General features: G+C 35.9%; 2 long non-coding RNA genes across 2 annotated transcripts in view; one reads left to right on the forward strand and one right to left on the reverse strand.

Annotated features, from left to right (window-relative positions):
- Positions 1 to 17,929, forward strand: part of LOC107986841 (uncharacterized) — a 66,127-nt gene that overhangs the window by 46,985 nt on the left and 1,213 nt on the right. The window lies entirely within an intron of this gene.
- LOC101928211 (uncharacterized) lies at positions 3,107 to 17,823 on the reverse strand. Its single transcript, NR_110180.1, has 4 exons — positions 17,578 to 17,823; positions 15,556 to 15,651; positions 8,188 to 8,288; positions 3,107 to 3,227 (listed from the first exon to the last, which is right to left on the reverse strand). It is a non-coding gene; the product is annotated as an uncharacterized LOC101928211 (long non-coding RNA).

Genomic DNA, 17,929 nt, shown 5'->3' on the forward strand with positions numbered 1-17,929 from the left:
AGGTGCCAGCAGATCCAGTGTCTGTGAGAGCTGCTGTCAGCTTCCAGATGGTGCCTTATTGCTACATCCTTTAAGGTGTTGAACCCTGTGTCTTCACATGGCCAAAAGAAGAGAAGGGTAAAAAGAGCCTTGCTAGTTCCCTCTAGCCCTTTTATAAGGTACTAATCTCATCTATGAAGCCTCCACCTAATTACCTCTGAAAGGCCCCACTGTTAATAACATTGTGTTGGGGATTAACTTTCAATATAAATTTCGTAAGGAACACAAATATTCGAAGCATAGCAAGCACCTAACCAATTGTGGTACACATAGGAGGCTCTTGCTTTTGTGTAATAAAATTTGTCTGTAGCTGTATCTACATACCTGAAATCATAAGGCTGGGGCATATTTTGTTGTAATTCTATAGACATTATTATGTGTCTTTTTTATTCCTTCTTTTGTAGTAAATGTAAAACTGGAAAATATGTTTAGAATTTGTATTTGCTAATGACAAAGGAAAGATTTGGGTCCAAAATCTGGTAACGATAATGACAAGGAGAGTCTTATGGTATTTAGTCTTAATGGTATTTACAAATTGATAAAAAGAGATTCAACTTTATCGGACAAGAAAGTCTCCACTAATCTATTTTTCTATGTTGGGGCATAAACTACAGTATTGCTATAATTATCTTTCTATCCTCTTTCATTAATTTCCTATATTAATGATGCACTTTAGTATATTTTTTTTAGCTTTTTGGTAAATTCTCTGTTGAGATATGAAATGAGGCCACCAATGTTGGAAAGATCACTTAGTTTATGAATTCAAAAACTGTGAATTGGTGATACTACCTTATAATGCTCTTCCAGATGATTTATACCCCTTTTAATTTGCCTCATAATGCCAGAGGCAGTTTTAGATTTTCAGGATTAAAATTAATATCAGGGATTATCTATCTATCTATCTATCTATCTATCTATCTATCTATCTATCATCTATCTAAAATATATATCTTTTATATACAGTTTTAGCTTATATATATAGCTGGATATAAAACTATAAAAGCTCTATATATTATATATAATATTATAAACAGGATAGAAAGATATATATATCTATAGCTATATATATAATCTGTATAGTTTTATACACAGTTTTAGCTTTTAAGGATTAAAATTAATATCAGGGATTTTATATATATATAAAATAATCCATTATATATACATATGTTTCTCTATATATAGACATAATAATCCATCTCTGTATATGTATGTGTGTGTGTGTGTGTGTGTGTGTGTGTGTGTGTGTGTGTATGGGGGTATGTTCTGAAATATATGTTAGAGATAATTTTATTGCTTCTAACACAGAGACCATGGAATCCTAGGAAACTATAAAATTAGTGCATAGTGTCCACAAATACTTCTCTGCTTGGCACATTGCCTAAGAAACAAATATTAATATCTTTTTCATATGTAGTTTTTCAATGGTACAGAAATCATATTATGATGAATAAAATTCATTTCTTAAAACATTACATAATTCATAGCACCATTTTGCTATGTACTTCTGAAGGAATTATAGCAAACTCTTGATATTTGTTACAATGTTTGTTGTTTAGTATTCTAATGTTTAAATATGTTTTTAAAATGTTATAAGAATTTTTAAAAATAGATTCTAATGCTTGAAAACATGGGCACATTCATGACTTTTAACACTAGCGATTCTTAAAGTGTGACCAAGCTCCCTGAAATCCCTGAGAAATTTTAGTGAGTTGTATGAAGTCAAAACTATTTTTATAGTAATACTAAGACATTATTCACCTTTCTCTCTCTTCTCTCACGCAATTCCAGAGACTCCAAAGAATAAGATATTGCAGCAGATTGAATACAAAAGCAGATATAAGGATACAGCTGTCTTTTATAAAGACAGATATTAAAGGAATTTGTAAAAACATAAAACAGTGCCATTCTTGCACTAGTATTTTGTCTTAGAAAATTATCTTTATAAACATATCGTTTTATTAACATATTTTGGTTTATTACTATTTTAAATTAATAATGTTTTTAAATTTTCTCAGTTATAATTTCTAATATGGCAAATATAGGTGTATAGGTAATACATAAAAACAAAGTTCTTTGGGCTTCTCAGTAATTTTAAAAATATGAAGGGGCTCTAAGACCAAAACACTCCAGGGTTGCTGTTTCAGCTGATGAAATATATTCTCTATCACACTTCTAGAATGAGTACTTGTTTGGTAATTCCTGCTCCAAGAACTTAATTTTCAATGTTTCAATATAAAAAACTCTATAGTGTTGGTTTTTATAACTCATTGTCCTGTGTAATAATTTATTTGGTAACCTGAGAAAGTAAAAGCTTAATAAGCAGTGTTCTCCCTTTCCTTTTCCAAAAAGGCAACTCAAGAAGCAATCAAAATTAGACTTTTAGCTATCAATTTTAAAATTTCTTCCATTCCACTAAATATAACTGCCTACAAGAAGAAAGTATTATATAGCTAGTTATTTGCTTTACTCCAAATTTATAGAGATTTGAACATAGCTCTCTGGCTAACAATAGCTTAATACTACATTTCATGGTCACACAACTTATTATTCATTGGAAGTTCTCTTGACATCAATTTCCACTTACTCTCATGTTCATTAATTCTGTGTATTACTTCAGTTCAACCTAATGGCTAAGAATAGACTAGGTCAAATGGGTTAAGTTTGCCATTTCTGTGTGTGCGATGATGCTCAATAGCCACAATGACTGCAACTTTGGGCAAGAGAATAAACATGCTGCTGTCCAGGTAAAGGCAAGAGAAATGAGTTTCACCTTTCAGAAATGTCACTGTCATTAGTTTTCTGAACAAATAAATTATATATCCTTGCTTAATATTTCATTTTACCTTATTATATCTCTAGTGCTGCTCATTACAGAGCATGAATAAGAAGCACAGGATGAAGTGCAGATCTGATACACGTTAGGTTCAAGCATGAATGCTGATGAAGATAGCCACATGCTAATTACATGTGTGGGAAAGCGATTCTGTAAAATGACATGTTAAAACCATTGCAGTAGCTAAGATTAACAATAGAGACATTACAAAGAAAAATACAAGGGAGTCACGGGCAGACTCTGGAACACAGTTTTATTTAAGACATGGCAAGTAGTGGAATAATTATGTGCTTATTACTTGACAGTGAATTCCTTGTGGACAGGGAGTTGCACAGTTTCTAGCATGTCTTCAATACTGAATGAATAAATGAAGGAAATAAGCCATTAGATAAAAGCAGAATAAGGAAAGTAAAGTTATACAGCAGTTAAGAGAATACTTTTTATAAAAACTGAGGGTGAGAAGCAAGTAAGATTAATCAATATTATTCATTGGTGCTGAGAAGTTATGCCAAATGAGCACTACTAAAAATATTTTTGGATATGGCTCTAAAGAGTCTGTGGCTGGAGCAAAATGTTTTCAATAGAGTGGTGTGGAGTTTGAAGACAACTGAGAGTAGTAAGTGGCAAGCTGACTATAAGGAAAATGTATGTGATTATACGGTGAATAAACATTCTTTTAAGAATTTTGGTGGAACAAAGTAGAGAAAAGCAACAGCAACTTATGTATGTATGTAGCAGGTACATGTAATTCTTAGATGCTTTTCTTTCAAATTTTTAGAATGAAAGAACAACCTTTTCAGTTACAATTAAAAATTAGGAATACCGAAAAAAAGAGAATGGAATGGCATAATGTATTTCAAAGTATTTTCTTTTTCTTTTCATTTATTTATTTACTTATTTTGAGACAGGGTCTCGTTGTGTCACTTAGGCTGCAGTGCAATGGCATAATCACAGCTCACTGCAGCCTAGACCTCCCCAGCTCGAGTGATGCTCCCATTGGTCACACGTAGCTGGAGCTTTAGGCACAGACCATCACATGGGTTAATTTCATTTATTTTTTGTAGAGACAAGGTTTCACTATATTGCCCAGGGTGGTCTCGAACTCCTGGGCTCCAGTGATCCTCCCACACTGGCCTCTCAGAGTGCTGAGATTAGAGGCGTGAACCACTGCAATCAGCCAAAGTATTTTCAAACCTTTGCAATCACAATCAGATGAAGCTCAAATTTTAAAACGTGCGTATAATTATTTCAGGTGTTTTGTACACTTCTGTAATTACTAAGATATGTTTTCTCAGTTTTCTGGTCTGTGACTCAACTAATGCTAAATTATGGCAATTTGGGGAGTAATCAGATTCATCCTCAACCACACAGACCTAATCTGGGTCATCACTGTACCTTTGTGAAGTTTATTGCTATTGTTACAATTTATAAGGAAGGAAACAGAAACTAGCTCTCTTTTTCTTTTTCCTTTTTTATTTTTGTTCTATCTCTTTAGAGTCTTCAAAGAGTTTGAATAGAGGAAGAAAAAACAAAGTAGGATATTTCTTTCATCTGTATTCTTAGATGTAATTTTTTTTTTTTTCAATTTCAGAAGTTTTAGAAGGAGGAGATGGGCAAGGAGAAAAACATCAGGAAAGAGAGAGAGAAAGAGTCACACACATAATTTCACACACTGCTGTGGCTCACTGGCACCATGGAGTATTCAGGGTGTCAATTAATATGAATATTATTTGGTGTATTAGATACCAAGTAGAGTTAATTGCAAAAGGTCTTAATTGATCACAATGTACTATTTATTCTCTCTCAAATTGCACAGAAAATGCATGTATTCTCTTCCCCTGACTTTTGGAATGCTTTGATGTCACTAAGGATAACTTCAGTTTTACAAGGAAGACTCTTGACTCATAAATTATTCATTCTTTATATAATCGCCTGGGAACATTTCTTTATTGTCTTAACCATTCATTGCTTAGCACACAGTTTTAAGCAGAGGAATAAAGTCATATTTGTAAAATAGGTAAACTTTAATTTCTTGGGGGAGCCATAAAATAATATGGTGGATAATTAGCTGAAATATTCAGCTTTAAAAATACGTTCTGCTCTACAGTATATATTTTGATCTGCTAATTTGCAAAACAATTTTGGTAGTTAGATATAAAATTTATATTTATCCCCATTACATTTATTCTGTTCATTTAATTCAGTTCATAAACATTTTATTTGCTTTTCCGTAACTTGATTCTCTAATGTAACATGTGAGTCGTTTGAGTCGGATTTGGTACGTCACACTGAGATATTGACGAAAGTGACAAAAGAGTCTAGCGTAGGCTACAGAATATTTGAACAGTTGGGAAGGACCCACTAAACAGGAGTCTTAGCTCATGGCCATTCTGCCATTTATGAACTTAAATAACTGTACTATCAACTGCTTACTTCTGCAGTTTGTTCTTAAACCCACCAGAGGAGATGTTCACAAATAAAATATTAATAACTATATTAATTTTCTCTGCAGTAAGCTGTCAGACATAGCAGCAGCAGCGGTTAAGAGGAGGGATTGGCTCCAACTTTGAAACTAGTTAGCAGTGTAGCCTGGCACGAATAGATGTTGGCATCGCTGGTCACAGCAGACAAATTATAGGATGTGAAAGTATATAAATGACATGGAAAATAAGGCTTAAAAAGTCTACTAAAGTCCCTGCTAATTGTTCATTCCTAGAAAGTGACAAATTAGAAAATTACCCAATATGACTCTGTCCTTAATGGTGCATCTCTATCTGTGGGTGATGCAGTCTTTCATTTAAAAAATGAGAGAAAGAGAATAAAAGCTTCTACCTCTCTCTCCATAGCCTTGTTCTTTTAATTTAATTTTTGATTGTCCAAAAGAGTGCATGTATTTATCAGGTATAACATGGCGTTTTGAAATATGGTGAAATACAATGGAATGGCTAAATTTACATAACTGACACATGGATGACCTCACAAACATCATTTTTTTGTAGTGAAAACATGTAAAATCTACTCTTTTAGCAATTTTCAAGGACAGAACACAGGCATACCTTGGAGATATTGCAAGTTAGTTCCAGATCACAGCATTATAATGAAATCACATACTTTTTAAAATTTCTCAAAGCATATAAAAACTATGTTTACACTACACTGTCATCTATTAAGTGTGCAATAGCATTATGTCTAAAAAATGCACCTACCTTAATTAAAAAATACTTTATTTTAAAAAAACGCTAATGGTCATCTAAGCCTTCAGTGAAACATAATCTTTTCCGCTGATGAAGGGTCTTGCCTCTATGTCGATGGCTGCTGACTGATCAGGGTGGTGGCTGCTGAAGGCTGAGATGGCTGTAGCCATTTTTAAAAATAAAACAATGGAGTTTGCCACATCGATTGACTCTTCCTTTCACAAAAGATTTCTCTGTAGCTAGCAATGCTGTTTGATAGCATTCTACCCACAGTAGATGCTCTTTCAAAATTAGAAGTAATCCTCTCAAACCCTGCCTTTTATTTATCAACTAAGTTTATGATATATTCTAAATCCTTTGTTGTCATTTTAATAACATTCACAGCATCTTCACCGGGAGTACATTCTATCTCAAGAAACTATTTTCTTTGCTCATCTGTAAGAAGCAGCTACTCATCCTTTTGGGTTTGATCATGAAATTGAAGCCATTTATTCATATCTTCAGGCTTCACTTTTAATTCTAGTTTTTTTGCTGTTTTCATCACATCTGCAGTTACTTCCTCCACTAAAGTTTTGAAGTCCTCCAAAAATTATCCATGAGGGTTGCAATCTACTTCTTTCAAACTCCTGTTAATATTGACATTTTGACTTTCCCCCAAGAATCATGATTAATTTTAATGGCATCTAGACTGGTGATGCCATATACTTTCCAGAAGGTTGTCAATTTACCTTGCTCACATCAATCAGAGGAATCAGTATCTATAGTAACAATAGCCTTACAAAATGTATTTCTTAAATAATAAGGCTTGAGTGTCAAAATTACTACTTAATACATGGGCTGCAGACTGGATGTTATGTTAGCAAGCATGAAAACAACATTAATCTCTTTGCACATCTCTATCAAAGCCCTTGGGTGACTAGGCACATCATCAACGACCAGTAATATTTTGAAAGGAATCTTCTGAGAAGTAGGTCTCATCAGTGGGCTTAAAATATACAATAAGCCATGCTGTAAACAAATGTGCTGTCATCCAGGCTTTGTTGTTCCATTTATAGAGCCCAGAGTTGATTCTGCATAATTCTGAAGGGACCTGGGATTTTCAGGATGGCAAATGAGAATTGGCTTCGGCTTAAAGTCACCAGCTGCATTAGCCCCTTACAAGAGAGTCAGCCTGTCCTTGGAAGCTTTGAAGCCAGTCATTGGCTTCTCTCTAGCGAGAAAAGTCCTAGATGGCATCTTCTTCCAATAGAAGGCTATATGGTCTACATTGAAAATCTGTTGTTTAGTGTAGCTACCTTCATCAATGATCTTAGTTAGAGCTTCTGAATAACTTGCTGCAGCTTCTACGTAACACTTAACTGCTTCACCTTGCACTTTCATGTTATGAAGATGGCCTCTTTCCTTAAACTCATGAACCAACATCTGCTAGCTTTGAGCTTTTCTTCTGCAGCTTCCTCCCTTTCTCAGCCTTCATAGCCTAATCTCATCTGGATTAGATTTTGGCTTAAGGGAATGTTGTGGCTGGTTTGATCTTCTATCCAGACCACAAAGCTTTCTTCATATCGCCAATAAGGCTATTTTGCTTAATCATTCATGTGTCCCCTGAAGTAGTGCTTTTAATTTCCTTCAAGAACTTTTCCTTTGCATTCACAACTGGTATTAATTAGGAAATACTTTATTGCTAAAAAATGCTAATGGTCATCTAAGCCTTCAGTGAATCATAATTTTTTCTGCTAATGAAGGGTCTTGCCTCTATGTTGATGGCATACCTCAGCTTTCACCGTGCCTCACTAAGCTTAATCATTTCTAGCTTTTGATTTAAGGTGAGAGGTATGCAACTCTTTCTTTCACTTGAACACTTAGAGGCCATTGTAGGGTTATTAATTGGGCTAACTTCAATATCATTGTGTCTTAAGGAATAGATTAGCCCAAAAAAATTAGGGAGAGAGATGGAGGAATGCCCAGCTCGTGGATCCATCAGAATGCACACATTTATCAAGTTCACTGTCTTATATGGGCATGGTTCCTGGCACCCCAAATAAATTACAATAATAACATCAAAAATGACTGATCCCATAACATATAATAATAAGGAATCAGTTGAAATAGTTCAAGAATTACCAAAATGTGACACGGAGATACCAACGCTGTTGGAAAACGGTGCCAATAGTTTGCTTGATGCTGGTTGCCACATATGTTTAATTTGTAAAATAATACAATACCTGCAAAACACAAGAAACCAAAGGGTGATAAATGGAGGCATGCTTGTATTTTAATTGACAAAAAAATTATATATACTTATCATGTACAACTTGATGTTTTGAAATACATATACATTGTGGAATGGCTAAATTGAGTTAATTAACATATTCATTAGCTTACATACTTATATTTTTGTGGTGAGAACACTTAAAATCTACTCTCTTAGTGATTTTCAAGAATAAAATACATTGTTATCAAGTATAGTCATTATATTGTACAATAAATCTTTTGAATTTATTTTTCTTATTTAACCGAAGTGTTGTATCCTTTGACTAACATCTTCCCGACCACGTCCTTGTTTTTTTATTTTATTTTATTTTTTATTTTTTCAGGTTTCACCTTTTACTCAGCATTCAGAATGCATGTATACTGGGTAATCTTATGGTGAATTTTCAGGATGGTAAATGAGCATTGGCTCTGACTTAAAATCACGAGTTGCATTAGCCCCTTACAAGACAGTCAGCCTCTACCCAAAGCCAATAATAAGAATTTATTTCTATGAGGTTTCTGGCTCTGGTTTTACTCTCAGATGATCCTTTCAGTTCTCCCTCTTCACCACACACTGTGGGGTCAGTGTTAGCCCATGGCCACCCCCACCATTACCCCTGGAAACAGAGCTTGCTTTAGGTCTTCCAGGACTCTGTTTATCTGGAAGGAGAGTTTGGGCAAGTATACTCAGGGAAGAGAGAGCAGGATGAGGAGAAGATTTAAAACCCCCTCAATAGCGACTGGATACACTAGAGAATGTGGAGGGATTCACAGTAACTCTCTAACAAATATAACATGAAAATATTAGAAATTTAGAAAAACTCTTTAGATTTGTATGTTCCAGTAGAGATATGATAGGTTTCCACTCTTTGTTTTCTAATTTTATGAAGATGTTTTGGAAGAATATGAAAGCACCATGTCAACCATGGTTGACATTTAGTACTTTTTTAAAATTTATTTTTATTTCAATAGGTTTTTAGGGAACAGGTGGTATTTGATTACATGAATAAGTTCTTTAGTGGTGACTTCTGAGATTCTGGTGCACCTATCACTCAAGTAGTGTACATTGTACCCAATGTGTATTCTTTTCTCCCTCACCACCCTTCCACCCTTTCCCCCGAGTGCCCAAAGTCCATTGTATCATTCTTATGCCTTTGCATCCTCATAGCTTAGCGCCCACTTATGAATGAGAACCTATGATGTTTCATTTTCCATTCCTGAGTTACTTTACTTAGAATAATAGTCTCCAATTTCATCCAAGTTGCTGTGAATTCCATTATTTTATTCCTTTTTATGGCTGAGTAGTATTCCATTATATATAAACACACATGTATATACACATATATATACACACCACATTTTCTTTATCCATTCATTGACTGATGGGCATTTTGTAGATCAACTAGTAGTGGGATTGACGCATCAAATGGTAGCTCTACTTTTAGTTCTTTAAGAAATCTCCACACTGTTTTCCATAGTGGTTGTACTAGTTCACATTTTCACCAGCAGTATTAAAAATGTTCCCTTTTCACCACATCCACACCAACATCTATTTTTTTTATTATGGCCATTCTTTCAGGAGTAAGGTGGTATCACATTGTGGTTTTTATTTGCGTTTCCCTGATCATTAGTAATGTTGAGTATTTTTCTAGATGCTTGGTGGCCATTTGTATATCTTGTTTTGAGAATTGTCTGTTCATGTCTTTAGCCCACTTTTTGATGGGATTGTTTGTTTTTTCTTACTGATTTGTTTGAATTCGTTGTAGATTCTGAATACTAGTCCTTTGTTTGATGTATAGATTGTGAAGACTTTCTCCAACTCTGTGTGTTGTATATTAATTCTGCTATTTCTTTTGCTGTGCAGAAGCTTTTTAGTTTAATTAAATCCCATCTATTTATCTTTCTTTGTGTTGCATTTGCTGTTGGGTTCTTTGTCATGAAGTCTTTGCCTAAGCCAATGCCTAGAAGGGTTTTTTTATGTTATCTTCTAGAATTTTTATGGTTTTAGGTCTTAGATTTAAGTCTTTGACGCATCTTGAGTTGATTTTTGTGTAAGGAGAGAGATCAGAATCTGGTTTCATTCCTCTACACATGACATGCCAATTAGCCCAGCAATATTTGTTGAATAGGGTGTCTTTTTCCCCACTTTATGTTTTTGTTTGCTTTGTTGAAGATCAGTTGTCTGTTAGTATTTGGGTTTATTTCTGGATTCTCTATTCTGTTGCATTGGTCTATATGTCTATTTTTGTACCAGTACCATGTTGTTTTGTACCAGTACCATGTGTAGTTTGAAGTCGGGTAATGTGATGCCTGCAGATTTGTTCTTTTTGCTTGATCTTGCTTTGGCTCTTTTTGGGTTTCATATGATTTTTAGGATTGTTTTTTCCAGTTCTGTGAAGAATAATGGTGGTATTTTAATGGGAATTACATTGAATTTGTAAATTGCTTTTGGCAATATGGTCATTTTCACAATATTGATTCTACTCATCCATGGGCATGGAATGTATTTCCATTTGTTTGTGTCATCAATGATTTCTTTCAGCAGTGTTTTGTAGTTTTCCTTTTAGAGATCTTTCACTTCCTTGGTTAGGTATATTCCTACGTATTTTATTATTATTATTTTGCAGCTATTGTAAAAGGGGTTGTGTTCTTGATTTGATTCTCAGCTTAGTTGCTGTTGGTGTATAGCAGAGCTACTGATTTGTGTACATTAATTTTGTATTCTGAAAGTTTTCTGAATTCATTTACCAGTTCTAGGAGCTTTTTGGAGGCTTCTTTAGGTTTTCTAGGTAGACAATCACGTCATCAGCAAACAGCGACAGTTTGACTTTCTCTTTACTGATTTGGATGCTCTTTATCTCCTTCCCTTGTCTGATTGCTCTGCCTAGAACTTCCAGTACTGTGTTGAATAAAAGTGGTGAAAGTGGGTGTCCTTGTCTTGTTCCAGTTCTGAGGGGGAATGCTTTTAACTTTTCCCTGTTCAGTATAATGTTGGCTGTGGGTTTTTCATAGATGGCTTTTATTACTTAAAGTTTGTCTCTTCTATGCCGATTTTTCTGGGGTTTTAATCATGAAGGGATGCTGAATTTTGTCAAATGCTTTTTCTGTGATTATTGAGATGATCATGTAATTTTTGTTTTTAATTCTGTTTATGTGGTATATCACATTTATTGACTTGTAAATGTTAAACCATCCCTGCATCCCTGGTATGAAACCCACTTAATCATGGTGCATTATCTTTTTTATATGCTGTTGGATTGGTTAGCTAGTATTTTGTTGAGGATTTTTGGATCTATATTCATCCGGGATATTGGCCTGCAGTTTTCACTTTTTGTTATCTCCTTCCCTGGTTTTGGTACTATGGTGATACTGGCTTCATATAATGATTTAGGGAGGATTTTGTCTTTCTCTATCATGTAGAATAGTGCCAACAGAATTGGTACCAATTCTCTGAATGCCTGACAGAATTCAGCTGTGAATCCATCTGGTCCTGGATTTTTTTGGTTGGCAATTTTTTAATTACCATTTAAATCTCATTGCTTGTTATTGGTCTGTTCAGAGATTCTCTATCTTCCTGGTTTAATCTAGGAGAGTTGTATATTTCCAGGAACTGTTGCATCTCCTCTAGGTTTTCTAGTTTATGTGTGTAAAGGTGTTCATGGTAGCCTTGCATAATTTTTTGTATTTCTGTTGTATCAGTTGTAATATCTCCCATTTTGTTTCTAATTGAGCTTATTTGGATCGTCTTTCTTCTTTTCCTGGTTAATCTCACTAATGGTTTATCAACTTTATTTATCTCTTCAAAGAACCAGCTTTTTGTTTCATTTACCTTTTGTATTTTTTTGTTGTTATTGTTTCAGTTTCATTTAGTTCTGTTCTTGTCTTGATTATTTCTGTTCTTCTGCTGGGTTTGGGTTTGGATTGTTCTTTTTCCTCCAGCTCTGTGAGGTGTGAGCTTAGATTGTTTATTTGTGCTCTTTCAGACTTTTTGATATAGGCATTTAATGCTATGAACTTTCCTCTTAGAAATGCTTTTGCAGTATCCCAGAGGTTTTGATAGATGTGTCACTATTATCATTTAGTTCAAATAATTTTTAAATTTCCATCTTGATTCATTGTTGGCTCAGTGATCATTCAGGAGCAGGTTATTTCATTTCCACGGTTTTGGGGGTTCCTTTTTGAGTTGATTTCCAATATTATTCCACTATGATCTGAGAGAGTACTTTATATAATTTCAATTTTCTTAAATTTACTGAGACTTGTTTTGTGGCCTATCACGTGGTCTATCTTGGAGAACGTTCAATGTGCTGATGAATAGAATGTATATTCTGCAGTTATTGGGTAGAATATCTGTAAATATCTGTTAAGTCCATTTGTCATAGGGTATAAGTTAAATTCATTGTTTCTTTGTTGACTTTCTGTCTTGATGATGTGTCTAGTGCTTTCAGTGGAGTATTAAAGTCCCCCACTATTATTTGTTGCCATCATTCTCATTTCTTAGGTCTCATAGTAATTGTTTTATGAATTTGTGAGCTCCAGTGTTAGGTGCTGATATGGCTTGGTTGTGTCCCCACCCAAATCTCATCTTGAATTGTAACTCCCATGGTTCCCACATGTCATGTGAGGAACTCAGTGGGAGATGATTGAATTGTGGGAGTGGGTCTTTCCTGTGCTGTTCTCATGATAGTGAATGAGTCTCATGAGATCTGATGGTTTTAAAAATGGGTGTTTCCCTGCACAAATTCTTCTTCTCTTGTCTGCTGCCGTGTTAGATATGGCTTTCACCTTCTGCTGTGATTGTGAGGTCAACCCAGCCATGTGGAACTGTGAGTCCATTAAACCTCTTTTTCTCACCAGTCTCAGGTATGTCTTTATCAGCAGTGTGAAAATGGACTAATACAGGCGCATATACATTTAGGAATGTGATATTTTCCTGTTGGACTAGTCCTTTTATTATTATATAATGACCCTCTTTGTCTTTTTTAACTGCTGGTGCTTTAAAGTTTATTTTGTCTGACATAAGAATAGCTATTTCTGCTCACGTTTGGTGTCTATTTGCAGGGAATACTTTTTTCCACACCTTTAACTTAAGTTCATGTGAGTCTTTATGTGTTAAGTGAGTATCCTAAAGAGCAGACACTTAGTTGGTGAATTCTTATCATTCTGCCATTCTGTAACTTTTAAGTGGAACATTTAGGCCATTCACATTCAATGTTAGTAATGAGATGTGAGGTAGTATTCTATTCATCATGCTGTTTGTTGCCTGAACACCTTATTTGTGTTTTTTTTCATTGTTATTGTTACATAGGTCCTGTGAGACTTACTTATGCTTTGAGGAGGTTCTATTTTGGTGTATTTCAGGGATTTGTTTTAAGATTTAGAGCTCCTTTTGGCAGTTCTTGTACTGTTGGCTTGGTAGTGGTGAATTCTCTTAACATTTATTTGTCTGGAAAAGACTGTGTCTTTCCTGCATTTATGAAGCTTAGTTTTGCTGGACATGAAATTCTTGGCTGATAATAATTGTTTCCTTTAAGAAGGCTAAAAATAGGACCCTAATCCCTTCTAGCTGCAGGGTTTATGCTGATGAATCTGCTGTTACTTTGATAGACTTTCCTTTATAGTTTACCTGATGCTTTTGCATCATAGCTTTTAAGATTATTTCATTCATCTAGACTTCAGATAACCTGATGACCATTTACCTAGGCAATGATCTTCCTGTGATGAATTTCCCAGGTGTTCTTTGAGCTTCTTGTATTTGAAGGTCTAGATCTCTAGCAAGGCTGGGAAAGTTTTCCTTAATTATTCCCTCAAATATGTTTTCCAAGCTTGTAGATTTCTCTTCTTCCTCAGAAACACCAATTATTCTTAGGTTTGGACATTTAACGTAGTCCTAAACTTCTTGGAGGCTTTGTTCATTTTTTAAAAAATTATTTTGTCTTTGTCTTTGACAGATTGGGTTAATTAGAAAGCCTTGTCTTCAAGCTCTGAAGTTTTTTCTTCTTATTATTTGATTCTATTGTTGAGACTTTCCAGTGCATTTTGCATTGGACATCTCTAAGTGTGTCGTTAATTTCCAGAAGTTGTGATTGTTTTTTATTTATGCTATCTGTTTCACTGAAGATTTTTTCTTTTTTATCCTAAATCATGTTTTTTTTATTTCTTTGAGTTGGAGTTCACTTTTCTCTGGTGTCTCCTTGATTAGCTTAATAATCAACCTTCTGAATTCTTTTTCTGGCAATTCAGAGGTTTCACCTTGGTTTGGCTCCATTGCTGGTGAACTGGTGTGATCTTTGGGGGTGTTAAAGAACCTTGTTTTGTCATGTTACCAGAATTATTTTTCTGGTTTCTTCTCATTTGGGTAGACTATGTCAGAGAAAAGATCTGGGACTCAATGGCTCCTGTTCAGATTCTTTTGTCCTACAGGTGCTCCCTTGATGTGGTGTTCTCCCCTTTCCCCTAGGAATGGGGCTTCCTGAGAGCCAAACTGCAGTGATTGTTTTTGCTCTTCTGGGTCTAGCCACTCAGTGAAGCTCCCTGGCTCTGTGCTTGTATTGGGGAGTGTCTGCAAGGAGTCCTATGATATGCTCTGTCTTCAGGTCTTTCAGCCATGGATACCAGCACCTGCTATGGTGGAGGCAGCAAGGGAGTGAAATGGACTCTGTGGGGATCCTTGGTTGTATTTTTGTTCAGTGTGCTGGTTTTGTATTAGTTGGCCTCCAACCAAGATGTGGTACTTTCAAGAGTGCATCAGCTGTGGTACTCTAGGAAGGTTTCAAACTTTTCCTAGGGTCATCCAGTTAAGTATTCATGTTTCTCAGGCAGTGGGCAGGGCCATAGAGCTCCCAAGAGATATGTCCTTTATCTTTGGTAACCAGGGCTGGTAGAGAAAAACCACGAGGTTGGGGCAGGGATAGGCTTGTCTGAGCTCAGATTCTCCTTTGGAGGGTCTTGCTATGGCTGCTATGGAGGATGGGGGTGTGGTTCCCAGGCCAATGGAGTTATATTCCCAGAGGGATTATGGCTGCCTCTGCTGAGTCATACAGGTCACCAGGGAATTGCGGGAAAGCTGCCAGTCACAGGCCTCATCCCACTCCCACACAGCCCACAATCCTAAAAGCCAGTCTCATTCCCACCATGCCCCACAAAGAGCACTGACTCTATTACCAGGCAGCCAGTGATCAGGGCTGAGAACTAGCCCCAGACCACCAGCCTCTCCACTGAGAAAGCAAACAGACTCACAGTTTTCAGCATCTCAGGGAGCCTGCAGCGGCAATCCAGTTCCTTCAAATGGCCTGTGGTTTATCTCAGCTTTCCTGGTATCATCCTGCAGAAGTTCTTAGAGCAAAAGTTCACCATGTAAGTCACTACACATTGTTTTGTCTGTCCAAGCCAGAGCTTCAAGCTAGTCCTGCCTCCTATCCACCACTAGAAATTTTGTTAAGGGAAAAATCTGAAGAATTATAAAATGAAAATCCATTTGGGGGAGTTTGGAAATTCTTCCCAGGCTGAGAAACAGTCTCAGATTTCAGACCTCAGCCTGTATATAGATTAGTTATTTCACAGGTAACCAAGTCACCGTTTTCTGAGTGGGCACCGTTTACTGGTGCCCAATAAGTAATACTGAATGTTAAGGTGTTTTGTTTTGTTTTGTTAACTATATATAACTGACCCTAAAGACTCTCAAGTCTTCTTTGTAGAATTGAGAGCTGCTCTGCTGTTACTCCAATAAAACTGCATAGTGAGTTGGCATTTGGAATGATTGGATTTAGGTTGTTGCTACAGTCCTGCAAACCCTGGACTTCTCAAACTAAAACATGTCAAATTATGAAACTGTAGTCACTTAACAATCTGAACTGGAATTTTATACTTCAACATGTTCATCATGAGAATTTTCAGATTTACAATTTGTAGACCTAATCATTGTAAATACCTATGCATTCAACAGCTCACCTCTGATGGATGCAGAGACCCTTAACTGAGCCAAAGGGACAATTTTTCCCCCTGCAATAGGTGGCTCTACTGTTGTGGGTGGGAAACATGTACAATAAATTATTTCTGCTAAAGAAAGGGTGTTGAAATCTAAAGCCCAATTTGATATCTTGATGCCTTCTAAATTTTGCAAGCCCATATTCAACTGTCATTGCAGTTGTTATTACCTTAGTATACAATATAAGTGATGACATGTAACCCTTTATGAATTAACAGTGTATGCAAATACTAGGAGCTTCAATTTTTTTCTCCTGAGTGTTTGTTATTCAAATAAAATAATCTTGAGGGCTTATAGGTATAAGTAGATATAGAAATAATCTATTTTTAACTATTTCTAACTAATTATTTTACAGATAAATAGAGTGAGGCCTATGGTTAAAAAGCAAATGAATAGGCCGGGCACGGTGGCTCACGCCTGTAATCCCAGCACTTTGGGAGGCTGAGGCGGGTGGATCACGAGGTCAGGAGATTGAGACCATCCTGGCTAACATGGTGAAACCCCATCTCTACTAAAAAACAAAAAATTAGCCAGGCATGGTGGCGAGTGCCTGTAGTCCCAGCTACTGGGGAGGCTGAGGCAGGAGAATGGCGTGAACCTGGGAGGTGGAGCTTGCAGTGAGCCGAGATCGTGCCACTGCACTCCAGCCTGGGCCACAGAGCAAGACTCCGTCTCAAAAAAAAAAAAAAAAAAAAAAAAGCAAATGAATAATAAAGGCAGAACTTACACTCTTGTTCTTGAACTTTTTACTGATGGTCTTTCTCCTATTATACACTGATTCCCTTTCTGGAAATAAAAGTACCTTTTAGCCTCAAGTTTTTCCAATATTATTAACTTAGGAATAAAAGGCTTTATTTAATCTCCAAAGTCTATGGCATTTTAGCAAAACATCCTAACAATATTTCAGCTTGACTACTTGAAAATATAATTCATTATTTTGAAGATGGTAAAGCATAGTTATTATAAATGATTCCTCATGAATATTTGTGACTTCAACAGCAATTTCTTGCATATATATACATATACACACACACCCCTACACACACACACACACACACACACACACCCCTACAAACACATCTTTCAGGAATGCCATCCCTTACATAAAGATGCATATAAATGTGGGTATGCATACACATACACACATATATCTACACACTCACAGACACACATCTTTCAGGATGGCCATGACTTATGTGAAGATGGAGTCCTAACATTTAATATTTTTTAAAACTATTAGGAATTGTGCTCATTGAGAGAAATCCAATACTTACAATGCTAAATCTTCAAGCTATTGAGGAAATAGCTGGAAAAATTGGAAAAGAGATTTGTTTCTTTCTGTTCCTTTTCAAGGGCAGAATGAAAACTGAGGTGTGAAGTTTACAGCTGTGTTTCGGTTCCATAATGAAAGGTCTTGGAATCACAGGTTGATGTAATTTTAATAGTGCATATCATTCCCATCACTTTGGGTACTTTGGGAGGTGTTTCCTACCGTCTGGGTCTGTTCGCATGTTCACGCAGCCTGCCATCTGAGAAGGAATTTTCCCTGGCGGCCATGACCTAATTTCAAGGTTCTGGCAGCTGAATGCAGGCGACTGACAGCCAAGGTTTTCCTACTTAGCATAT

The sequence above is a fragment of the Homo sapiens genome, chromosome 7, assembly GCF_000001405.40.
Source record: "Homo sapiens chromosome 7, GRCh38.p14 Primary Assembly".
NCBI classification, from domain to species: Eukaryota; Metazoa; Chordata; class Mammalia; order Primates; family Hominidae; genus Homo; species Homo sapiens.